Raw genomic sequence first — 25,443 nt, 5'->3', positions numbered from 1 at the left:
ACAACAGCCTCATTAGTGTTACTCATTCATTTCTGAAGAGATTCTAATGTCCACAGCTCTGTCTTGGTCAAGTAGTTCTCTGGACTCGGATCTCTGTCTTTATCTGTTCTTCTTCTATCTGTCAGCACCCTCTCAAATCTCGCCTTCTCTCACATCTTACTGTCATACGCCATCTGTCCCTTCCCTGTGGTTACACAGCACTGTTCATTCATTCATGCAGTCATGCAGCAAACAATTCTCGACATCCACCATGTGCCAGGCACTGGAGATACAGCAGTAGAGATATAACCCTTGCTTTCAAAGAGTTCACAGTCCAGTCAGGGAGACAGGCAGGTAAACTGGTGATGAAGTGCTGCTGTCCTGAGTGCTGTTACTGATAGGCACAGTGCTATCAGTCAGGGGGTGCCTGACTCAAGTGCTGGTTGGGACAGGATGGGACAGGACTGCTTCATGGGGTCAGGGAGACAGGTAAGTTTATTTGAGTTATACATAGATTTAAAACCACTGTGGTTCTTCTTAAAGTCAGCTTGACCAGAATAAAGGTTTTTATAAGTACATTTATTCTGACTAGATTGTAAGCCCCAGGAAGACAGAAGCATAATGTCATTTGTGTCCCCTGGTCCAGTATATATTGAGTAGAGTAGAACCAGGGCGTAAATATACATTCTGTTGGTTAGTTTTAGTTTTCTGTGGATCATTAAATATCAGATTTTTAAATTGGATTTCAGAGGCTGACAACAGTGACTTACATTTTGGTCTTTATTCTCTATGTTTCTAGTATTCATATTTACTAACAAGCCAGCTGGAATCTCAGCGAATCTACTGGGAAAACAAGATAGTTCGGATAGAGAAGGACACAGCAGAGGAAGTAAGTCTGTTTGGTTTGGGTGACTGCGGAAATGACACATGGCAGGGCACTCTGATGGGGGGTGTGGAAGGCAGAGTACAGGGAAAGAGGAATCTTACCATCTTCCCTTCTCAGGCAGGTAATAGGTGGAGAACTGTTTTGCCACTAAAAAGAAACTTTGGATTTAAAGGCTTGACTGTTTTGATATTTTGGGGTCTTAGGGGGTTTTGTTTGCTTTTTTTTTTTTTTTTTAAACCTCAGTCTGGTTTTCTAGTGCCTTGTGAAGTTCCACTAAAAACATAGAAGTATCTACCTGAGGGTTTGTCATTTGAGTTAGGCACTTGGGAACCGCTGCCTTTGGGAGCTAAACATGAACTTCTAAGGCAATGAAATGGCGCAGAGCCTTTCTAAATGGAAGGAAATAAAATTGGGCAGAGATACTGGCACTTCATTATTCACCCTGAAGGTCTAGGGCAGCAGTTTTCAAATTTTAACAAAATAGTCCTTTAAAAAAGATGCCATTCACTACTTTAGCAAAATTAAAAAGTGGTATGATTTTGGTGGAAACTCAGATGGAAGGCCCAGAGCTCTGTCTCCAGTATGTGCAAGGAACCCTGTGACTTCCAAAGAAGGTAGTCTGAAAACTAGTAAGCATCTGTGTATAATTGTGTATAATTATGGCTCTAGGAACCTTTCTTTGGACCTAGGGACAGTGTTTGTAATTCAGTGATTCCCTTAGTATGAAATAAAATCTTGTAAAATTTCTCAATGATTACTTTAGTAACCTTGTGAGTCCCCACCTATCCTTGGGCCTTCAGATAGGCAGTACAGAGCTGGGCTTGGGGCCCACCTCTGAGGTGGCTAGGAATATCCTGGAGCTTAGCAGGCAGGGCCATGGGCCCCAGTTTCTGGATATGCCGTAAGTGGGCAAAATCAAGGTCTGTAAAAATTAATGCTTAACATCAGCTTTAGGCCAGGTGTAGTGGCTCACACCTGTAATCCCAGCACTTTGGGAGGCCGAGGCAGGCAGATCACTTGAGGTCAGGAGTTTGAGGCCAGCCTGGCCAACATGGCGAAACCCAATCTCTACTGAAAATGCAGAAACTGGTCGGGCGTGGTGGCAGGCGCCTGTAATCCCAGCTACTCAGGAGGCTGAGGCAGGAGAATTGCTGGAGCCCAGGAGGCAGAGGTTGCAGTGAACCAAGATTGCACCACTGCACTCCAGCCTGAGCAACAGACCGAGACTCTGTCTCAAAAAAAAAAAAAAAAGTCAGTTTTAAAATGATCTGCAGTTAAAAGTTATTGATGAACTTCTTACAAGAGCCTTCTAATCAATGCATGTGCCCTTCCAGTGGCACTCAAGGTCACTTGACTTTGCTAGTTCTGAATAGGCCTTGATTAGAGTATGTGCAGGGAGGACCACCTCCCAATGCTCTCGTTGGAGCAGAGCGCAGGTCGCTGCCGCGTACTGTGAAGTTGGCTCACGGGAAGTGCATTGGCAGCTCCACTGCAGCTGCACTCATGGGTTTTTCCATGGGATATACCAGTGTGACTACCTCAAGTGCTTCATCCAGACCCTTGAAGCTAAGCTCAGGATTCTCTCTGCCCTCTAGGATTGAAAAGCAAGTCAAGGGGCAGGAAAACGAAACACTGAAACTTATGTTTGCTTTTAGGTCAGGGTAAAATGGAAGCCAGAGCAGCTCTAAATAAAACGCTTGGGGTGCTTAAAAGGATGCTTTTGTTTTCTAGTAACAAATGTCGTTTATCCATAAGTTAATGGATGATGCAAGCCTTTTGTTCTGCCACGGTCCTCCTTTTGGCCAGTCCCTTGTCCGTTAGCACCCCCAGCAGTAGAACATGTTCAGGGAGAAACAGTAACCCGGACCCTGGGTTTCACTGACAGAGATTCTTGTTTGTGGGCCTTCTGTTGATGTGGAGGAGGGGTGTGGATCAAGGTTGAAATTCATTGTGGGCTTCAGTTATAAACACTGTTTCTTTCCCCCAGTGCCTTAGGTAGTGCCGTTATTATAGCATGTGAGCACAGCCTATTCTAGAAGATGAAGCTCACAGACATTCAAAGGTTCTTAGTTTTCATGGCCATGTATGAGGAACACATGGTAGGCAGAGGCAGTCATAAGGTGACCTCCTCTAAAAGTATATCTTTTCTTGTGGATGTCTAGCTCCATTTTAATCAGTATTTTTCCAGCTGTGGATTGTAAAATGAGTTTGGTGGACCACAACTAGCATTTTTATTAGATAAAATAGTGTAGATGTAAATATTAGGATGTAGTACAATTAATATTGTTTTGTGAAACTCATTTCACTTTTGTGTGTGTCATGGGTGTTTCTTACTGTGGGCTAATGATCAGAATTTTTCATTTGTTTTTTGAGATAAGATCTCACTCTGTTGCCCAGGCTAGAATGTAGTGGCACCATTACAGCTCACTGCAGCCTCAGGCTCAGCCTCTCATGCTCAAGCGATCCTCCCACCTCAGTCTCCCTAGTAGCTGGGACCACAGGAGGGTGCCACTGTGCCTGGCTGATTTAAAAAAAAAATTTTATTCAGATCGGGGGGTTGGCCGGGCACAGTGGATCACGCCTGTAATTCCCAGCACTTTGGGAGACCAAGGCGGGCGGATCATGAGGTCAAGAGATTGAGACCATCCTGGCTAACACGGTGAAATCCCATCTCTACTAAAAATACAAAAAATTAGCCAGGCTTGGTGGCACGTGCCTGTAGTCCCAGCTACTTAGGAGGCTGAGGCAAGAGAATCACTTGAACAGGGAGGCGGAAGTTGCAGTGAGCTGAGATCACGCCACTGCATTCCAGCCTGGGCAACAGAGCGAGACGCCATCTCAAAAAAAAAGAGAGAGAGATGGGGGAATCTTACTATGTTGCCCAGGCTGATCTCCAACTCCTGGGCTCAAGCAAACCTTCTGCCACGGCCCTCCCAGAGGGCTGGGATTACAGGCGTGAGCCATGGCACTGGACCAGAAATGTTTTAATAAGCACTAATTTAAATCGTTGTTAACATTTGTCTGTAGCAATATTAAGAACCTTTCTGGCCAGGCGCAGTGGCTAATGCCTGTAACCCCAACACTTTGGGAGGCCGAGGCAGGCAGATCACAAGGTGAGGAGATCTAGACCATCCTGGCTAACACAGAGAAACCCCGTCTGTACTAAAAATACAAAAAATTAGCTGGACGTGGTAGCGGGTGCCCATAGTCCCAGCTACTCAGGTGGCTGAGGCAGGAGAATGGCATGAACCCAGGAGGCGGAGTTTGCAGTGAGCCGAGATTGCACCACTGCACTCCAGCCTGGGCGACAGAGTGAGACTCCATCTCAAAAAACAAACCAACCAACCTTTGTAGGGTTACCTTTATATTTTCATCTTGATTTAAATGTGTTTGGCTTAAGTATCTTTACTGTCCAAGACATGTACAGTTTGGTTCCTTAGGATAGTAATTTCTGTCCTTTTCAACTTCCTTAAACTGACAGGAGTCAGTTTAGAAGAAAATTTCAAAAGGATCTAGTGCTCTGTTATTTTAAAATAATATTGAAGAGAAAATTAATACCTAACTAGAATTTGAGCGATTTTAAATCTATTTTGATTTTTATGACAGAGAAGTACATTTAGAAATCTCTCTTCCAGCCAGGCGTGGTGGCTTATGCCTGTAATCCTAGCACTTTGGGAGGCCGAGGCGGGCAGATCATGAGGTCAGGAGTTCAAGACCAGCTTGGCCAATATGGTGAAACCTCGTATCTACTAAAAATACAAAAATTAGCTGGGCGTGGTGGCATGCACCTGTAGTCCCAGCTGCTCAGGAGGCTGAGGCAGGAGAATTGCTTGAACCCGGGAGTTGGAGGTTGTAGTGAGCCAAGATAGCGCCATTGCACTCCAGCCTGGGTGACAGAACAAGACTCTGTCTCAAAAAAAAAAAAAAAAAAAAGAAAAGAAATCTTTCTTCCATGTTCTTCCAGTGGAGGTTGGCTATAAAGTTAATTTGAACAAAACATTTATTTTTATTGTATTGTATTGTATTTTTTTTGTAATGGTGTCTTGCTCTGTCTCCCAGGCTAGAGTGCAGTGGTGTGATCTTGGCTCACTGCAATCTCCACCTCCCTGGTTCAAGCCGCTCCCTGCCTCAGCCTCCTGAGTAGCTGGGATTACAGGCGCCTGCCACTGTGCCCGACTAATGTTTGTATTTTTAGTAGAGACGGGCTTTCGCCATCTTGGCCAGGCTGGTCTTGAACTCCTGACCTCGTGATCCACCCGTCTCGGCCTCCCAAAATGCCGGGATTACAGGCGTGAGCCATCATGCCCGGCCTATTATTATTATTATTATTATTATTATTATTAAAGCTAGTGCTATTAGAGACTTGCTAGGCAGGCTGTATGGAAAATGATTAAAAAGAAAGGTCTAGCTGATCCCTGGGCTGTATGACTTAAATTCTCAGCCACTTTCAGTTCCTGTTATATTGCCTTGTGGTTCACCCAGCCTCCTGACTTTGCCTTCCCACCAAATCTTTTGCTGGTGTCCTTAGACCAGTGGAGTTGAGGAAATTCCCAAGTTCGCAGATCTTCACACAGGAGTGGATCCAGTATCTACCTAGCCAGACTCCAACATACTCTGGGCTGGGATGGCTGCCGTCTGATATGTTATACATCAGAATTTTTTAATTCTCTTATGTTTTTAAGGCTGTGTAATATGAATTAGTCTATGTATATTGTTTTTATAAATAGACTCAAAAGAACATGGACTGCTTATACTCCATGTGGCTTCATGATACATGAAAAAAATATTGTGAATTGGAAAAAATAAACAACTAGAGTCAAGTGTCACAAGTTTCTTAGATTACCAATGTTTGTCTCCACAAAAAATACAAAAATTAGGTCAGGCGCAGTGGCTCATGCCTGTAATCCCAGCACTTTGGGAGGCCGAGGCAAGCCTCACTTGAGGTCAGGAGTTTGAGACCAGCCTGGCCAACGTGGCATCTCTACTAAAAAATAGAAAAATTAGGCCGGGCACGGTGGCTCACGCCTGTAATCCCAACATTTTGGGAGGCCGAGGCAGGTGGATCACCTGAGGTCAGGTGTTCGAGACCAGCCTGGCCAACATGATGAAACCCTGTCTCTACTAAAAATACAAAAATTAGCCGGGCGTGGTGGCAGGCACCTGTAGTCCCAGCTACTTGGGAGGCTGAGGCAGGATAATTGCTTGAACCCAAGAGCGGGAGGTTGCAGTGAGCCAAGATCATCCCACTGCACTCCAGCCTGGGCGACAGAGCGAGACTCTGGCTCAAAAAAAGAAAAAAAAAGATTTCCCGGCATTTTTAATCCTATTACAGAAATTCTTTCAAATGATTACCTCACCTTTTCTTTATTTTTTTCCCCTGCCTGGAAACTGCCATATCTCACCTTCTCTAATTTTGGTTTGTCAAAGTTATATACAGATAATTGGGGGGAAAAATATGATGTTGGTCCCAAAGAGCACACCACATTACCTTTGTGAAATGAATCTGATTTCTCTTTGCTCTTTCAGATTAACAACATGAAGACCAAGTTTAAAGAAACAATTGAGAAGTGTGATAATCTAGAGCACAAACTAAATGATCTCCTAAAAGAAAAGCAGTCTGTGGAAAGAAAGTAGGTATAATCGGTCTATTCTGTTGTAACAGGCTCTATAAACAGACAGTTTCTTTCATTCCTATGGAAACACCCTCATTTTCAAATATATGTATCACCAGGTTTTCAGGAGTCTCCCTATATATGGAACAGGCTTCTCGTTTATTAAAAAATGCGGGGTTTCATACCAGATGGATGCCATGTGGAATGCAGTGCTCTCTTCTGATGTCTGTGCACTTGCAGTGTGTGCAGATATCTTCCATTTTTGCCTGTGGAAAGCAATTTTCTTCCATCCAGAGCCTTCGGCTTCTTTGAGCCATTGTGGCTGAGAACTGGCAGTTAGGAACGAGACTGTGTCTAAGCTGGAGATGTTCTATGCTGTGGCCTTGGGCAGGAGTTAAAGGCAAGAGATGTTGAATATGGAGCAAAAAACTCATGAACAGCATGGCGATAACATTCCTTATTTACTGTTATTTGGGAAGATAGTTGCTACTGATTGAAATTACCAGCCAGGCATGGTGGCTTACGCCTGTAATCCCAGCACTTTGGGAGGCTGAGGCAGGCAGGTTGCTTGAGCCCAGGAATTCAAGACCAGCCTGGACAACATGGTAAAACCCCATCTCCACTAAAAATACAAAAATGAGCTGGGCATGGTGGCGCATACCTGTAGTCCCTGCTATTCAGGAGGCTGAAGTAGGAGGATCACATGAGTCTGGGAGGCAGAAGCTGCAGTGAGCCAACATCTCACCACTGCACTGCAGCCTGGGCAACAGCGAGACCCTGTCTCAACAAAAATAAAATTTTGTTAAGCTATTGTAAAAACAACACTACAAAATTAATAGACGTAAAACTTAAAAATTACCCTATACTTTCAGCACCCTAACAAATTGAACAACTGTGTTAAAGAATACAAAGTAAAAACCGGACGGGTTTTTTTTGTTGTTGTTGTTGTTGTTTTGGAGACAGGGTCTTTCCCTGTCACCCAGGCTGGAGTACAGTGGCACAACCTTAGCTCACTACATCTTTTTTTTCTTGAAACGGAGTCTCGCTCTGTTGCCCAGGCTGGAGTGCTGTGGCGCGATCTCGGCTCACTGCAAGCTCCGCCTCCCGGGTTCACGCCATTCTCCTGCCTCAGCCTCCCAATAGCTGGGACTACAGGTGCCTGCCACCATGCCCAGCTAATTTTTTTGTATTTTTAGTAGAGATGGGGTTTCACCGTGTTAGCCAGATGGTCTCGATCTCCTGACCTCATGATCCACCTGCTTTGGCCTCCCAAAGTGCTTGGATTACAGGCGTGAGCCACCGTGCCCAGCCCATCTTTATTTTTAGACAGAGTCTTGCTCTGTCGCCAGGCTGGAGTGCAGTGGCGCAATAGGCTGGAGTACAGTGGAGCGATCTCAGTTCACTGCAACCTCCGCCTCCCGGATTCAAGTGATTCTCCTGCCTCAGCCTCCCGAGTAGCTAAGACTACAGGAGCACACCACCACACCCAGTTAATTTTTGTATTTTTAGTAGAGACGGGGTTTCACCATGTTGGCCAGGATGGTCTCGATCTCTTGACCTCATGATCCACCCGCTTTGGCCTCCCAAAGTGCTTGGATTACAGGCGTGAGCCACCGTGCCCAGCCCATCTTTATTTTTAGAGAGAGTCTTGCTCTGTCGCCAGGCTGGAGTGCAGTGGCGCAATAGGCTGGAGTACAGTGGAGCGATCTCAGTTCACTGCAACCTCCGCCTCCCGGATTCAAGTGATTCTCCTGCCTCAGCCTCCCGAGTAGCTAGGACTACAGGAGCACACCACCACACCCAGCTAATTTTTGGATTTTTAGTAGAGACGGGGTTTCACCATGTTGGCCAGGATGGTCTCGATCTCTTGACCTCATGATCCGCCCTCCTCAGCCTCCCAAAGTGCTGGGATTACAGCCTTGAGCCACTGTGTTCGGCCAGCTCACTACATCTTCCACCTCCCTAGGCTCAGGTGATCCTCCCACCTCAGCCTCCCAAGTAACTGGACTACAGCTGTGCACCACCACCCCTGGCTAATTTTTTTTTCTTTTTTTCTTTTTTTTTTTGAGACGGAGTTTCGCTCTTGTTGCCCAGGCTGCAATGGTGTGATCTCGGCTCACTGCAACATCTGCCTCCGGGGTTCAAGCAATTCTCCTGCCTCAGCCTCCCAAGTAGCTGGAATTACAGGCATGCACCACCATGCGTGGCTAATTTTGTATTTTTAGTAGAAACAGGGTTTCTCCATGTTGGTCAGTCTGGTCTCAAACTCCCGACCTCAGGTGATCCGCCTGCTAAAGTGCTGGTTTTACAGGCGTGAGCCACCGTGCTTGGCCTCTGGCTAATTTTTTGCAGAGACTGTTTTACCATTACAGGCATGGGCCACCACACCCTGCAAAAACTGGAAGTTCTTTTTCACCCTCTAGATCCTGCTATCTAGTGTTAACCATTATTAACCAGTACCAGTGAATATTTCTTCTTCTAGATGTTTAGCTCTGCCCACATAAATATCTCACATGCATAATCTTTTCTCTGCAAAAATAGAATCTAGGTATTCTTTTTGATAAAATATGTTTTTGGATTTTTTTTCATACTAGCACATCTAAATCTATCCTGATCTTTGTAACATCTGCATGCTGTTTAATTGTATGGATGTACTATAATGATTTCTGTTGTGGTGGTTGTTGTTGAAATAAGGTCTTGCTGTGTTGCCTAGGCCAGAGTACAGTGGCGTAATCATAGTTCACTGCAACCTCCAGCTACTGGGCTCAAGTGGTCCTCCTAGTCTGAGCTTCCTGAGTAGCTAGGACTACAGGTGTGTGCTACCATGTCTGCCCAATTGAAAATTTTTTTGTAGAGACGGGGTCTTGCCATATTGCCCAGGCTGGTTTTGAACTCTTAGCCTCAAGTGATCCTCCTCCTTGATCCTGTCTTGGCCTCCAAAAATGCTAGGATTATAGGCATGAGCCCTGCACCTGGCCTGCATAATGATTTTGACCAGGTTCCTATTGATTGTGTCAAGTTGTGTCAAATCTCACACTACTATAAGCAATACTGTAATGAGCATCTTCCTCCATGTCTCTTTTTACCTAATCCTGAGTATATCTATTCTATGGTATAAATTCCTAGAAGTAAAATAGCTGTGTCAAAGGGCATGCAAATTTTTTGTTTTTATTTATTTATTTTTGAGACGGAATCTTGCTCTGTCACACAGGCTGGAGTGCAGTGGCACGATCTCGACTCACTGCAGCCTCCGCCTCTAGGGTTCAAGCAGTTCTCCTGCCTCACCCTCCCGAGTAGCTGGGATTACAGGCACACGCTACCACACCCGGCTAATTTTTGTATTTTTAGTAGAAACGGAGCTTCACCATGTTGGCCAGGCTGATGTTGAACTCCTGATCTCGTGATCCACCCTCCTCGGCCTCCCAAAGTGCTGGGATAACAGGCGTGAGCCACCGTGCCTGGCCCAAATTTTTTGTTTTTATAGATATTGCCAAGTTGTCTTCGAAAGAGTTTATACCAGTTCATGCTCCAGTGCTAGTGTGTAAGTGCCTCTTTTCTCATGTCTCAGCTCTTGGGTGTTCTGATGCATAAAAATAGTATCTCAAATAGTGGGGTTTTTTTGTTCGTGGTTTTTGTGTGTGAGTGTTTTTGGTTTTTGTTGTTGTTTTTTTGAGACAGGGTCTTACTCTGTCAGACAGGCTGGAGTGCAGTGATGCAATCACAGCCCACTGCAGGCTCAAATTCCTGGGCTCAAGCAGTCCTCTGCCTCAGCCTCCCAAGTAGCTGGGTCTACAAGTGCACATCACCACACCCAGCTAGTTTTTTAATTTTTCTTTTGTATAGACGGTGTCTCGCTATGTTGACCGGGCTGATTTCAAAGTGACCCTCTCACTTTTGCCTCCCATAGTGCTGGGATTACAGACATGAGCCACTCTGCTGGGTCTCAGATGGTATGGGTTGTTTGTTTGAGACAAGATCTCGTTCTGTCACTCAGGCTGGAGTGCAGTAGCATGAACACAGCTCACTGCAGCCTTGACCTGCTGGGATCAAGCAATCCTCCAGCTTCAGCCTCCTGTAAATCTGGGACCACAGGTGCACGCCACTGCACCTGGCTAAGTTTTTTGATTTTGTGTAGAGACAGGGTCTTACTTTGTTGCCCAGGCTGGTCTCGAACTCATTTCCTGTTTCATTTACTGAAGCGATCCTCTCGCCTCAGCCTCCCAGAGTGCTGGGATTCCAAGCATGAGCCAATGCACCTGGCCTCAAATGGTGGTTTCATTTGCAATTCTTTACTTATGAGTAAGACTGGACATCAAGAATAGGGCACTCCCAAGTCTAAAGCCCTTTGGTTAGAATAAGTGCCCTTTTTTTCCCCTTCAGCAAATGCAATGAAGTCAGAGTACTTGACTCTCCAAGAATGCCACTTTTCCTCATAACTTCCTTATCACAGCTATCATCTCGAAGGCACCTATTTAACCACTGACTGCAAAACAAAGAAGCAGTAGAATTTTTACCGTCAGTCACAGAATAGTTTCTGCTACTGAAAACTTTCTGATGCTTAAAAAAAAGTGTCTTAAAAGTACATTTGTGGGCTGGACGCGGTGGCTCACACCTGTAATCCCAGCACTTTGGGAGGCCAAGGTGGGTGGATCACAAGGTCAGGAGTTCCAGACCAGCCTGGCCAAGATGGTGAAACCCCGTCGCTACTAAAAATGCAAAAATTAGCTGGGCACAGTGGCAGGCACCTGTAATCCCAGCTACTTAGGAGGCTGAGGCAGGAGAATCGCTTGAACCCAAGCGGCAGAGGTTGCAGTGAGCCAAGATCACGCCACTGCATTCCAGCCTGGGCAACAGAGTGAGACTCCATCTCAAAAAATAAATAAATAAATAATACACTTGTGGACTGGCGCAGTGCCTCATGCCTGTAATCCCAGTACTTTGGAAGGCCGAGACAGGTGGATCACCTGAGGTTGGGAGTTCAAGACCAGCCTGGCCAACATGCCGAACCCCAATATCTACTCAAAATACAAAAATTAGCCAGGCATAGTGGCAGGTGCCTGTAATCCCAGCTACTTGGGAGGCTGAGGCAGGAGAATCGCTTGAACCCAGGAGGTGGAGGTTGCAGTGAGCTGAGATCGTGCCATTGCATTCCAGCCTGGGCAACAAGAGCGAAACTCCGTCTCAAAAAAAAATACACTTGTGTTAAGTAGAGCAAAATTCTTGCTTTGCATAGCTGATTGCGATGGCAGAAAACCATTCTCCCTCACGATGGGAGAAAGGGGTCTGTCCTAAAGGGATTCTGAGGTCATGGTTTCTCTGTTCAATCCCAGAGCAGAAAGGGGACTGTGTCAGCAAATGAAAAATGTGCTTTTGTCTTCCTTTGTTTTTCAAAAGGTGCACTCAGCTAAACACAAAAGTGGCCAAACTCACCAACGAGCTCAAAGAGGAGCAGGAAATGAACAAGTGTTTGCGAGCCAACCAAGTCCTCCTGCAGAACAAGCTAAAAGAGGAGGAGAGGGTGCTGAAGGAGACCTGTGACCAAAAAGATCTGCAGATCACCGAGATCCAGGAGCAGCTGCGTGACGTCATGTTCTACCTGGAGACACAGCAGAAGATCAACCATCTGCCTGCCGAGACCCGGCAGGAAATCCAGGAGGGACAGATCAACATCGCCATGGCCTCGGCCTCGAGCCCTGCCTCTTCGGGGGGCAGTGGGAAGTTGCCCTCCAGGAAGGGCCGCAGCAAGAGGGGCAAGTGACCTTCAGAGCAACAGACATCCCTGAGACTGTTCTCCCTGACACTGTGAGAGTGTGCTGGGACCTTCAGCTAAATGTGAGGGTGGGCCCTAATAAGTACAAGTGAGGATCAAGCCACAGTTGTTTGGCTCTTTCATTTGCTAGTGTGTGATGTAGTGAATGTAAAGGGTGCTGACTGGAGAGCTGATAGAAAGGCGCTGCGTTCGAAAAGGTCTTAAGAGTTCACTAACCTCACATTCTAATGACCATTTTGCCTTCCTGCTTGGTAGAAGCCCCAACTCTGCTGTGCATTTTTCCATTGTATTTATGGAGTTGGCGTATTTGACATTCAGTTCTGGGGTAGGTTTAAGATGTTAAGTTATTTCTTGTAACCTCAAAGGTAAGGTTATCTAGCACTAAAGCACCAAACCTCTCTGAGGGCATAACAGCTGCTTTAAAGAGAGGTTTCCATTGGCTATTAAGGAGTTATGAAAACTCCCTAGCAATAGTGTCATATCATTATCATCTCCCCCTTCCTCTGGGGAGTGGAAGAATTGCTTGAATGTTATCTGAAAAGAGGCCTGGTAGTAAACCAGGCCCTGGCTCTTTACCAGCAGTCATCTCTTCTTGCTCTGGGGCCAGCCAGGAAAAACAAACAACCCGGGGCACATTGGGTAGACTCAGTGTAGGAAAAATGGTGGCAGCTCCACTGTTTATTTTTGGTGACTTCGTACATCATTATGAACCGCAATTAAGGAGGAGGCTTAATGGCTGTTCCCAAACTCAAATCTCAGAGTGGGTATCCTAGCATCTAGCAAGACTGAGTGGGGAGATTTCTCATCCGTGTGAAAATGTAGAGTGAGGCCTCTGACTAGCTAATTGTGTATTTTGTTGGGTTTAGTATTTTCTAAATGTTTACAAAATATTGGGCTGCATGTTCAGGTTGCAGCTAGAGGGAGCTTGGGCAGATTTTCAATTACGCTTTCAAGATATAACCAAAAGCTGTTTCTAAATCCTAAAATTAGAATTTCAACAGAGCCCCCTTTAGAACAGTCATATAACGCTTGTGTGGGCCAACAGAGGGGCTGTGTACTCTCTCTGGAACCATAAATGTCAAATAATTTATAACCTGCAGTAATTGAGCAAACTTAAAATAAGACCTGTGTTGGAATTTAGTTTCTTGAAGAGGTAGAGGGATAGGTTAGTAAGATGTATTGTTAAACAACAGGTTTTAGTTTTTGCTTTATAATTAGCCACAGGTTTTCAAATGATCACATTTCAGAATAGGTTTTTAGCCTGTAATTAGGCCTCATCCCCTTTGACCTAAATGTCTTACATGTTACTTGTTAGCACATCAACTGTATCACTAATCACCATCTGTTTTTGTGGGATGTGCTGCAGCATTTCCCAAAAAACTTTACGTGTAATGTTGCAAAATGAATGTACTCAGACATTCTTAATTTTTACTTAGGGCAGACCAACTCTTTGAGTCTCTCTTGGACTTATATATACAGATATCTTAAGAGTGGGAATGTAAAGCATAACCTAATTCTCTTTCCTATAGAGATTCTATTTTATTTAAAATCTATTTTTACACTAGTTAGAATCCTGCTGTTTTGGCCAAGTACTTGTCTTGCATGTCTGACCTTGCAGAAGCTGGGGTGGATCATAGCATACTAATGAAGAGAATTAGAAGTAGTTTACAAAGCTCGCTCACTCCTCATTTCTCTGTGATCCCTTCTATCCAGTGGCCCCACCACCACCTGGGAAAACAGATTTTTCAGTACAGGTGGGATAAATGCTCTGAAAGGCTGTGCCCAGAGGAATGAGCAAATAGGCAAGTGTTTCCAAACTACTTGGAGGTTTACAAAAAATATGTCCCAGAAAAAAAAAAAATCTTACCAAGATACGTAAAGAAAAAAAAATTTTTTTTTAAACAGTCAAAGAGTCATGTTTGAATTTCACAAAATCACATCAGACAGAAGTTGTTTTCTTCAGGAGGGAAATGAACCACTTAATATACCCATACTACCTTGAACAATGAAATTGAATTAAAATAGCCAAACTTTGAAATTATTCTGCCCCGTGTGAAATGTGTGTCTCTGACTGACATTTGCTTGGGAGCATGTCTCTAATAATCTAAGAAAGTGTCGGCTGGGCACAGTGGCTCAGCGCCTGTAATCCCAGCACTTTGGGAGGCTGAGACGGGCGGATCATGAGGTCAGGAGATCGAGACCATCCTGGCTAACATGGTGAAACTCCGTCCCCACTAAAAATACAAAAAAAAAAATTAGCTGGGCATGGTGGCAGGCACCTGTAGTTCCAGCTACTTGGGAGGCTGAGGCAGGAGAATGGCATGAACCCGGGAGGCAGAGCTTGCAGTGAGCCGAGATTGCACCACTGCACTTCAGCCTGGGTGACAGAGCGAGACTCCATCTCAAAAAAAAAAAAAAAAAAAAAAAGTGGCCTTGATTTAAAAAGCAACGTAAAAATCAGCCCCTTGGTTGGGTGCGGTGGCTCACATCTGTAATCCCACCACTTTGGGAGGCTGAGGTGGGAGGAATGCTTGAGGTCAGGAGTTCAAGACCAGCCTGGGCAACATGGCCAGACCCAATCTCTACCAAAAAAAATAATAATAATAAAAGTTTTTGATTAGCCGGGCATGGTCTTGCACACCTGTAGTCCCAGCTATTTGGGAGGCTGAGGTGGGAGGATCGCTTGAACCCAGGAGTTCGAGACTGCAGTGAGCTGTGATTATACCACTGTACTCCAGCCTGGGCAACAGACCTTGTCTCAAAAAAAAAAAAAAAAAAAAACCCTCAACAATATAGTGAGCATCTAGATTATTCATCTTTCCACTCCCTTCTTCCAGGTTCCCAAACTAGTGAAAAGTAGCTGAACTGGGCAAGGGAAGTCCTAGGCACACAACTCTTGCAAACTAAAAGCACATTTTTTTATTTTTTATTTTTTTTGAGACAGTCTTGTTCTGTCTCCCAGGCTGGAGTGCAGTGGCTCCACCTTGGCTCACTGCAACCTCCACCCGCTGGGTTCAAGCGATTCTCCTGCCTCAGCCTCCCGAGTAGCTGCGCTTATAGCATGTGCCACCATGCCCAGCTAATTTTTTGTATTTTTAGTAGAGATGGGGTTTTGTCATGTTGGCGAGGCTGGTCTCGAACTCTTGACCTCAAGTGATCCACCCGCCTCAGCCTCCCAAAGTGCTGGGATTACAGTTGTGAGTCACCGCACCCAGCCACTAAAAGCAATTTTTACACCTGAGACTATTTCCCACTAAGCTGAGATTGTTTTGGTGGGGGGGTTTGTTCTTGGTGGGAAACCGTCATAAATGTGACTTGCTAGAATATATTGATCAATATATAAACACTGAAGCAACTACCCACTCTCTGCTTGCATGGCAAAGTTGTCCTCCTCAAAAGGGCTGAGAAACTGATTTCCACAGCCAGCTAGTAGAGTGTGGAGAACTTGGCAAATCACGAATGAACAACCTTCTGTCATCGTTTAGAAACCCCTCTCCTAGTACAGTCAGGCTCCACAAGCTACAAATACCATCCATGAGATTTGGCTGCCATGCATGATGCCACGTTGCTTGGGCTGGTGGCATATTTTGGCTTGTGCGATGCCATGGGCTTATCTAAAAAAGGAAAAAGTCACTCTTATTTTCTCCAGGATAAAGCTGAATTAACTGCTGCATAGTGACTCTGCTGCATCACTTCTCTTGGCAGCAGAAGGGAAATTAAAAGTCTCTTAAGAATCAGCTGCACCTTAACAGTGCTGGGGGTCCTTTAAACTACCCAGAGACCAGGCTGTCACCTTAATCGAGTTTAGGAAGCCACCGAGTATTCTGTGGCAGACCTTTTCTGTTGGCCAGTCCTTTTCATGCTTCCCTGTGAAAATTCTTGAAATAGAGACCCAGAATACCTATAAAATGGTTGCACCAACAGATGCAGCTTTTTTTTTTTTTTTTGAGACAGAGCCTCACTCTGTTGCCCAGGCTGGAGTGCAGTGGCGCGATCTCAGCTCACTGCAACCTCCGCCTCCTGGGTTCAAGCAATCCTCATGCCTCAGCATCCCAAGTAGCTGGGATTACAGGCACACACCACCATGCCTGGCTAATTTTTGTATTTTTTGTAGAGATGGGGTTTTGCCGTGTTGGCCAGGTTGGTCTCGAACTCCTGACCTCAAGTGATCCACCTACTCGGCCTCCCAAAGTACTGGGATTATAGGCATGAGCCACTGTGCTCAGCCATTTTTTGTATTTTTTGTATTTTGTATTTTGGTAGAGATGGGCTTTTGCCATGTTGGCCGGGCTGGTCTCAAACTCTTGGCCTCTAGTGATCTGCCTGCCTCGGCCTCCCAAAGTGCTGGGATTACAGGTGTGAGCCACTGCGCCTGGCCCAGATATAGCTTTGACAGTAAAGAGTGAAGCAGTAAGAGGGAGAAAAGCCTGTCCTTTAGGAACCCCAAGTTTTATCCTAGAGCCAAGGCCAAGTGTCTGCTTCTCCTCTGCAAGGTGAAGTTGATTTTGCACCTCCCACCCTCACCCACTGGCCTCCCCCAAACCCTGTTCTGTAGTCTCCCTGGAGCAAGTGAAAAGCATTATTTGCATTTGGGTATTAGTGAACTTCAGGGAAGTTACATAAGGCTTTTAATTTTTACTGGAGTGGGGGCTGGCCTCTTTATCCTGATTAATTGCCATAATCAACAACTTCTTTCTTTCTTTCTTTCTTTTTTTGAGATGGAGTCTCGCTCTGTCCCCCAGGCTGGAGTGCAGTGGCACCATCTCAGCTCACTGCAACCTCTGCCTCCTGGGTTCAAGTGATTCTCGTGTCTCAGCCTCCTGAGTAGCTGAGATTATAGGTGCATACTACATGCCCGGCTAATTTTTGTATTTTTAGTAGAGATGGGGTTTTGCCCTGTTGGCCAGGCTGGTCTCAAACTCTTGACCTCAAGTGATCTGCCTGCTTCGGCCTCCCAAAGTGCTAGGATTACAGGCGTGAGCCACCACGCCTGGCCATCTTTTCATGTTTTAGTGATAACCTTTCTTTACCTTGTATTCCTGAAACTCACATGTTCACAGACATTTACGACCATAGGGTCTATCAGACATTAATTTGGAAACTTGTACTTCCAGAAGCCAAAACAATTTCAGAATTATTGTAGCTAGTATGCTTTTCATGAACATTGAGTAGTCTCTCCCTATAATTCTGGAAGCTTAGGAGGACATGAAAGAAAGGGGTTCTGCAGTTGGTTCTTAATCTGGATTTTGCATTCTTGCTGCATGAAAGGAAGAAATGAACAATCTTGTTTTGTACAAGATGATTGCCGTCTTTAGGGCCTAATGTTGAATTGCTTCGAGTGAAAAACTCACTGGAATCATCTGGAAAATGTGGTTTTGGTACTTGGCACGGAGCTGCACTGGTGCAGATAACATTTGTTACTCTAAGGCTAATTACCACACTTACTAAGTGAACTGAAGCAGCTTTGTTTCTTTTCAGACCTTTTTCTAAATCCCCTGACCCAAGACTCCTTTCCGATCCAGCTCAAGATGGCCTTGAAACAAATGCAGGGAGGTTTGTCCAGGAGGGGAAGTCCAAGAGTGAAATTACATGCAAGATCCCAGAACGTGAACGTGTACAGCACTCAGGATAAATCTGGGTGTTTTGTTTGTTTGTTTGTTTTGGTTTTTTTTTGAGACCAAGTCTTGCCCTGTCACCCAGGCTGGAGTGCAGTGCAGTGGCTGGATCTCGGCTCATTGCAACCTCCGCCTCCTGGGTTCAAGCGATTCTCCTGCCTCAGCCTCCCAAGTAGCTGGGATTACAGGTCCCCACCATCACACCTAGCTAATTTTTGTGTTTTCAGTAGAGACGGGGTTTCATTATGTTGGCCAGGCTGGTCTCGAACTCCTGACCTCAAGTGATCCACCCACCTTGGCCTCCCAAAGTGCTGGGATTACAAGCATGAGCCACCACGCCCAGCCTGGGTGTTGTATTTTCAAAAGATAAAAGCAGGCCAGGCATGGTGTCTCACGACTGTAATCCCAGCATTTTGGGAGACCGAGGCAGGAGGATCACCTGAGGTTGGGAGTTTGAGACCACCCTGACCAACATGGAGAAACCCCATCTCTACTAAAAATACAAAATTAGCTGGGCATGGTGGCACATGCCTGTAATCCCAGCTACTCGTGAGGCTGAGGCAGGAGAACCGCTTGAACCCAGGAGGCAGATGTTGTGGTGAGCCAGAGATCGCGCCATTGCACTCCAGCCTGGGCAACAAGAGTGAAACTCCATCTCAAAAAAAAAAAAAAAAAAAAAAAGTAAAAGTAAATCTACAGCACTAAGCATAAATGCCAAATAGGAAAAACAGTTCCAACTTGGCCTCTGTGAGGATGTCTTCTGCCATTTTTTTTGCCCAGAAGAAGCAGCAGGTTCCAGACCAGATTTCCTGGTACATGTGTTTCCTAATTTAAAAAGGAAGAGCCCAGGCTAGGTGCTGTGGCTCACACCTGTCATCCCAACACTCTGGGAGGCCGAGATAAGAGGATCGCTTGAGGCTGGGAGTTCAAGACCAGCCTGGGCAACATAGACCTTGTCTCTACTAAAAATTAAAAACAATTAGCCAGGGGTGGCGCATGCCTGTAGTCCCAGCTACTCAGGAGGCTAAGGCAGGAGGATCTCTGGAGCCCAGGAGTTCGAGCTTGCAGTGAGCTATGATCGCACCACTGCTCTCCCAGCTATATCAACTCCTGGTTCTAATTCTCAATCCCTTGATTATGGCCCAATAGGCAAAAGTTCAGGTTTTCCCTAGAGAACTGGGAGAACTCAAGTCCCCTGTAAAAGAATGAGATGTTTCCGGCCGGGTGCGGTGGCTCATGCCTGTAATCCCAGCACTTTGTGAGGCTGAGGCGGGCGGATCACCTGAGGTCAGGAGTTTGAGACCAGCCTGGCCAACATGGCAAAACCCTGTCTCTACTAAAATACAAAAAATTAGCCGGGCATGATGTCAGGTGCCTGTAATCCCAGCTACTCAGGAGGCTGAGACGGGAAAATCACTTGAACCAGAGAGACGGTGGTTGCAGTGAGCCGAGATCACGCCACTGCACTCCAGCCTGGGCGGCTGAGCGAGACTCTGTCTAAAAAAAATAAATAAATAAAGATGTTTCCACAACTTAAGAAACTCGCCTGTATCAGTTTACATCATTAGCATAATGCTTAGCACTAAAAGGCTTCAGTGCTAACTAAAAAGAAGGGACAGGAATTAATTTTACAGGCACAACAGATTACAGAGAAAGACCTAGAAGTTAAGACATGTAAGCAGAAAATTTTAGGAGGAAAAAGGAGAGTTGCTATCTTGGAAACACTCCAACAGAGAGCAACCAAATTGTGACTTATCACACGCAGCCAGAGGGTCTTCCGGCAGCATTTTTTAGGAATTATCTTTTGTGATAGAAGCAACCTTAGCTGTAGCTGTATTCACTCATATTCTAACTGATCAGTTTCTGCTCATGCAGACACTATGAGCCCAACTGTTTGCAAAAGGGACAGCAAGAGAGGAGCCACGTGGCACTCCCCCACCTCCCCACCCCACCTGTCCTTGGGGAAAAAAATTAAGATCCTCTTTTCAAAATGCCTGCCTCAGGAAAACAGCTTCGTCGCATTTGTTTCCATGCTGCGGAAAATCAACACGAACTGGCTTTGATCCCAAACAGGGCCAACTGCAGGGCACTGAGGATTCCACAGCCAGGAGGAATGCGGAGGCCTCTCCCCCAGCACATTCGACTTCAATTATGTGGGAACACGCCTGGGCCGGGGGCTGATGCCAGAATTATCCTGGCTGAGACGGAGGAGGCCCCGTGCTGTGGCCTAGAATCTTTCCTAAAAGTCCATGCGGGATCTCTCGGTTGCTGCCAATCCTGCACTTTCTCGTTGGCGAGATTCCTGGCTCTGTTTGGCTAGAGTAATGCTACGGCTCACTCCTGTCCTTTTCTTCTCACTGCGGCCCCTCTGCCCCTCACCATTGTCAATCAGAATGCTCCACCGCTTTCAAAAACAGAACAGTCCCCCCAAGAAATCATCCACACCATCCCTTCCTCCTTCTCGGTTAGCTCCGTTATGGCCCACAGGAGAGGGCTGCCTTTTTGGTTAACTCTTTAAAAAGTTTCCTTTTCACCTTCTGACATAACATTCTCGTGGGAAGGGAGGTAAGGGATGCTAATGAGCCTCACTGGATTACCGTTAGCGTGTGTGAACCCAAGTGGACTAGGAAAATCCCAGCAGGACATCCCTATGAGGGGCCTCTTTTCCAGCACTGGTTGTCCTAATCAGGCAAGCCAGAGCGGTAATCTAGAGACCCCAAACCTGTGTTGGATTTTAGTAGGACGTAGAGCCGAGATAGCCCCTTTGCACTTGCTGAGAATGAAAAATGGAAGTAAGCCCTGTCCTGCGGTTTTGATGTGTTTGATTACACTGCTAGCTCACACAACCTACCGCCCAGTCATTGTGCTGAGCACTTGCCTTGTATGTTTCATCCAGTCCTCACAACAATCCTGTCAGGTCCTACGGTGAACCCATTTTACACAGCAAGAAACTAGGGCGCAGTGGAAACAGGATGGGACTCGACCAGCACTGACTGAGGTCACATAGCTGGTAAGTGATAAAGGCCATTCTCTCTCTCTTTTTCTTTTTTTGCAACAGAGTTTTGCTCTTGTCACTCAGGCTGGAGTGCTATGGCGGGATCTCAGCTCACTGCAACCTCTGCCTCCTGGGTTCACGCAGTTCTCCTGCCTCAGCCTCCTGAGTAGCTGGAATTACAGGCACCTGCCACCAGGCCCAGCTAATTATTTTATTTTATTTTTCATAGAGGCAGGGTTTCTCCATCCATGTTGGTCAGGCTGGTCTCAAACTCCTGACCTCAGGTGATCCACCTGTCTTTGCCTCCCAAAGTGCTGGGATTACAGGCGTGAGCCACTGTGCCCAGCCCTCTCACTCTCTTCTTTTTTTTTTTTTTTTTAGAGACAGGGTCTCACTCTTGCCCAGGCTAGAGTGCAGTGGTGTGATCATGGCTCATGGCAGCCTCAACCTCCCTGGACTTAAACGATCCTCCCACCTCAGCCTCCTGAGTAGCTGGGACCACAGGAGCGTGCCACTATGCCCAGCTAACTTTTTCTTATTTTGGGGGTCTCCTATGTTGCCCAGGCTGATCTGGAACTCCTGGGCTCAAGTGGTCCTCCCACCTCAGCCTCCCAAAATGCTGAGATTATACACATAAGCCACTGTGCCCGGCCCTTTTTCTTTTCTTTTCTTTTTTTTTTTTTTAATAAACAAGGTCTCTGTCGCCCAGGCTGGAGTGCAGTGACGCGATCATAGCTCACTGCAGTCTCAAACTCCTGGGCTCAAGTGATCCTCCTGCCTCAGCCTCCTGAGTAGCTGGGACTACAGGTACACCACCATGCCCAGCTAATTTGTTTGTTCTTGTAGACATGGGATCTTGCTATGTTGCCCAGGCTGACCTTGAATTCCAAGTGATCCTCCCACCTCCGCCTCCCAAAGCACTGGGATGACAGTTGCAGTCCACCACACTCAGTCAATTCTCAATCTTGACATCATCTAACCCCAAAACCTGGGCTTATCACCACTCTGCTCTACTATCTCCCCTAACTTTGGGACTTGGGAATGTAAAAGACACAGCTCCTAGTTCGATTTTGTTGTTTTGGGAAAGGAGAGTACTGAGTTGAGGCCACTTTTGTGTGAGTCCAGGGTCCTGAACATCCACCCTCTGCCAGCCTTCCCTTTTTTTTTTTTTTTTTTTTGAGAAGGGGTCTCTAGCTCTATTGTCCAGACTGGAGCACAGTGGCACGATCTTGGCTAACTGCAACCTCCACCTCCAGGGTTCAAGCAATTCTCATGCCTCAGTCTCCTGAGAAGCTGGGATTAACAGGCACCCGCCACCACGCCCAGCTAGTTTTTGTATTTTTAGTAGAGATGGGGTTTCACTATCTTGGCCAGGCTGGTCTGGACCTCCTGACCTCAGGTGATCTGCCCACCTCGGCCTCCCAAAGTGCTGGGATTACAGGCGTGAGCCACCAACCCTAGCCTCTTCTCATGGAGTTTTCTAACTTCTCCCTCTCTCCTTTCCCACTTCAATGGGGCGCCTGAGCTGATAAAGAGAAAGGAAGAGGAAAGCCACAGGGTTTCCCCCCACTATACCCAAGGGCTGGCCTTGGGAATTCATTTCAATGGACTGTGCTGGCCCCTTCACCCTGGGGAGCTTGGGGCCCAGCCCACAGCAGCCATTTACACTGACATCTCAGTTCCTTTATCCAGAGCCTCATGGACATTTGCTCCATTGGAAAAGTCGCTTCTGGAACAAGGCTATCCAGGCTCTAAGGTGTTCTCTCTGTAAGAGTGCAGACTCTGCTAGTGCCCCCAGAGGCACAGTCAAAAGGGCATAAACAGGCTAACTGGAAACTGGATATTCTGGAGGGATCGGCTTAATTTGCAGCTTCAATTTATTATAGAACACATGGGGAGAGAGAAAGCCTAGAACAAAAATCTTACAAACTACTAGAGGATATTATAAAGCAGTATTAATTTGGCAGATGTAAATTGGTGCTGTGTGTATGTCTATGTGCAAATGTGTCCAAGAGCTTTTTCTTTGTTTTTTTTTTGAGACGGAGTCTCCTAGGCTAGAGTGCAGTGGTGCAATCTTGGCTCACTGCACGTCTGCCTCCCAGGTTCAAGCAATTCTCCTGCCTCAGCCTCCCAAGTAGCTGCGATTACAGGCTTGCGGCACCACACCGGCTAATTTTTTGTATTTTTAGTAGAGACGGAGTTTCACCATGTTGGCCAGGCTGGTCTCAAACTCTTGGCCTCAAGTGATCTGCCTGCCTCGGCCTCCCAAAGTGCTGCAATTACAGGCATGAGCCACTGTACCCGGCCTTTTAAAAAAATATTATGTAATAACAAGTTTAAGCCAGGCACAGTGGCTCACACCTGTAATTCCAGCACTTTGGGAGGCCAAGGCGGGCAGATCACAAGGTCAGGAGATTGAGACCATCCTGGCCAACATGGTGAAAACCCATCTCTACTAAAAATACAAAAATTATCTGGGCGTGGTGGCGTGCACAAGTAATCCCAGCTACTTGGGAGGCTGAGGCAGGAGAATCACTTGAACCCGGGAGTCGGAGCTTGCGCCACTGCACTCCAGCCTGGCGACAGAGCGAGACTCCGTCTAAAAAAAAGCAAAAAAATTATAAGTTCAATTTATGATCTGATGTTTTGTTTTTTCCTTTTTTGAGACAGTCTTGCTCTGTTGTCCAGGCTGGAGTGCAGTGGCGTGATCTTGGCTCACTGCAACCTCCACCTCCTGGGTTTAAGCGATTCTCCTGTCTCAGCCTCCCAAGTAGCTGGGACTACAGGTGCCTGCCACCACGCCTGGATAATTTTTTTTTTTTTTTTTAGATGGAATCTCGCTCTGTTGCCAGGCTAGAGTGCAGTAGCGCAATCTCAGCTCACTGCAACCTCTGCCTCCCGGGTTCAAGTGATTCTCCTGCCTCAGCCTCCCAAGTAGCTGGGATTACAGGCATGCGCCACCATGCCCAGCTAATTTTTGCATTTTTAGTAGAGATGGGGCTTCACCATGTTGGCCAGGCTGGTCTTGATCTCCTGACCTGGTGATCCACCCACCTTGGCCTCCCAAAGTGCTGGGATTACAGGCATGAGCCACCGTGCCCGGCCTAATTTTTGTATTTTTAGCAGAGGTGGGTTTCATCATGTTGGCCAGGCTGGTCTCGAACTCCTGACCTCAAAGGATCCACCCACCTCATTCTCCCAAAAATCTGGGATTACAGGCGTGAGCCACCACACCCGGCCTATGATCTGATTTAATAGCTATATTTGTGCTACTGAGCTTAGATTTTCACCTACTTCCACTTATCCTACATATATATATATATACATTTTTTTTTTTTTTTTGAGATGGAGTCTCACTCTGTCACCCAGGCTGGAGTGCAGTGGTGTGATCTCGGCTAACTGCAAGCTCTGCCTCCCAGGTTCACACCATTCTCCTGCCTCAGCCTCCCAAGAGGCTGGGACTACAGGCGCCCGCCACCACACCCGGCTAATTTTTTGTATTTTTAGTAGACATGGGGTTTCACTGTGTTAGCCAGGATGGTCTCGATCTCCTGACCTCGTGATCCACCCACCTCGGCCTCCCAAAGTGCTGGGATTACAGGCACAAGCCACCGCACCCAGCCCCTACTTATATATTCTAAATGCTATTAGACAATAGGAAGTACAAAAGTATATTGCTTGTGTGTTTATTTTTTATTGAGATATAATTAACATACAATAGGCCCCACGCAGTGGCCCACACCTGTAATCCCAGCAGTTTGGGATGCCAAGGCAGGCGTATCACCTGAGGTCAACAGTTCAAGACCAGCCTGGCCAAAATGGCAAAATCCCATCTCTACTAAAAATACAAAAAAATTAGGCGTGGTGGTGTGCACCTGTAATCCCAGCTACTTGGGAGGCTGAGGCAGGAGAATTGCTTGAACCTGGGAGGTGGAGGTTGCAGTGAGCAGAGATGGTGCCATTTCACTCCAGCCTGGGCAACAAGAGCAAAACTCTGTCTCAAATAATAATAATAATAATAATAATAATAATAAAAAACATACAATAGAATGCAGATCTTAAGTGCTCAGTTCAAAGAGTTTTGAGAATTGTATATACCCATGTAATCACTACCCAAATCAAGATGTGTAGAATATTTCTATCTCCCCTGTTAAAAAATACAATGTTATATTTTTTAAACAGAAAAACATAAAGAAAATTAAATGGTTATCTCAACAGAGGAAGTTATTAACACTTTAGAGTATGTTTCTTCTGGTATTTTTGTTTGTTTGTTTTGAGACAGGGTCTTGCTCTGTCACTCAGGCTGGAGTGCAGTGGCATGATCACAGCTTACTGCAGCCTCAACCTTCCAAGATCAAGCAATTATTTCACCTTAGCCTCCCAAGTAGCTGGGACTACAGGCACACACCACCACACCCAGCTAATCATCTGGTATTTTCTATGCATATTCTTTTTTTTTTTTTTGAGATAGAGTCTCGCTCTGTCACCCAGGTTGGAGTGCAGTGGCACAATCTCAGCTCATTGCAACCTCTGTCTCCCAGGTTCAAGTGATTCTCCTGCCTCAGCCTCCTGAGTAGCTGGGATTA

At 46.1% G+C, this 25,443-nt stretch overlaps 1 protein-coding gene and 1 long non-coding RNA gene across 6 annotated transcripts in view, besides 1 other annotated feature; one reads left to right on the top strand and one right to left on the bottom strand.

The window, feature by feature from the left end:
* BRAP (BRCA1 associated protein) overlaps positions 1 to 14,288 on the top strand; it is a 43,811-nt gene extending 29,523 nt beyond the window's left edge. For all 5 annotated transcript variants that reach the window (XM_017019992.2, NM_006768.5, XM_005253944.5 and 2 more), the window contains 3 exons: positions 779 to 868; positions 6,392 to 6,495; positions 11,872 to 14,288. In XM_017019992.2, the coding sequence (XP_016875481.1) occupies positions 779 to 868; positions 6,392 to 6,495; positions 11,872 to 12,235 (558 nt within the window). In that variant the 3' untranslated portion in view covers positions 12,236 to 14,288. The remainder of the gene's footprint in view (positions 1 to 778; positions 869 to 6,391; positions 6,496 to 11,871) is intronic.
* Positions 6,598 to 7,476, bottom strand: LOC124903020 (uncharacterized). Its single transcript, XR_007063463.1, has 2 exons — positions 7,139 to 7,476; positions 6,598 to 6,859 (listed from the first exon to the last, which is right to left on the bottom strand). It is a non-coding gene; the product is annotated as an uncharacterized LOC124903020 (long non-coding RNA).
* Positions 20,412 to 21,015: an enhancer, noted in NCBI's record as "H3K27ac-H3K4me1 hESC enhancer chr12:112073223-112073826 (GRCh37/hg19 assembly coordinates)". NCBI's record gives its function as "activates a minimal SCP1, AML or CMV promoter by ChIP-STARR-seq in naive H9 embryonic stem cells {active_cell/tissue: H9 hESC(naive)}" and the evidence as "EXISTENCE:reporter gene assay evidence [ECO:0000049][PMID:30033119]".

The sequence above is a fragment of the Homo sapiens genome, chromosome 12 (genome assembly GCF_000001405.40).
Source record: "Homo sapiens chromosome 12, GRCh38.p14 Primary Assembly".
Lineage (NCBI taxonomy): Eukaryota > Metazoa > Chordata > Mammalia > Primates > Hominidae > Homo > Homo sapiens.
The sequence above is the reverse complement of the archived record's forward strand: the minus strand, read 5'-3'. Positions and strand labels throughout refer to the sequence as shown.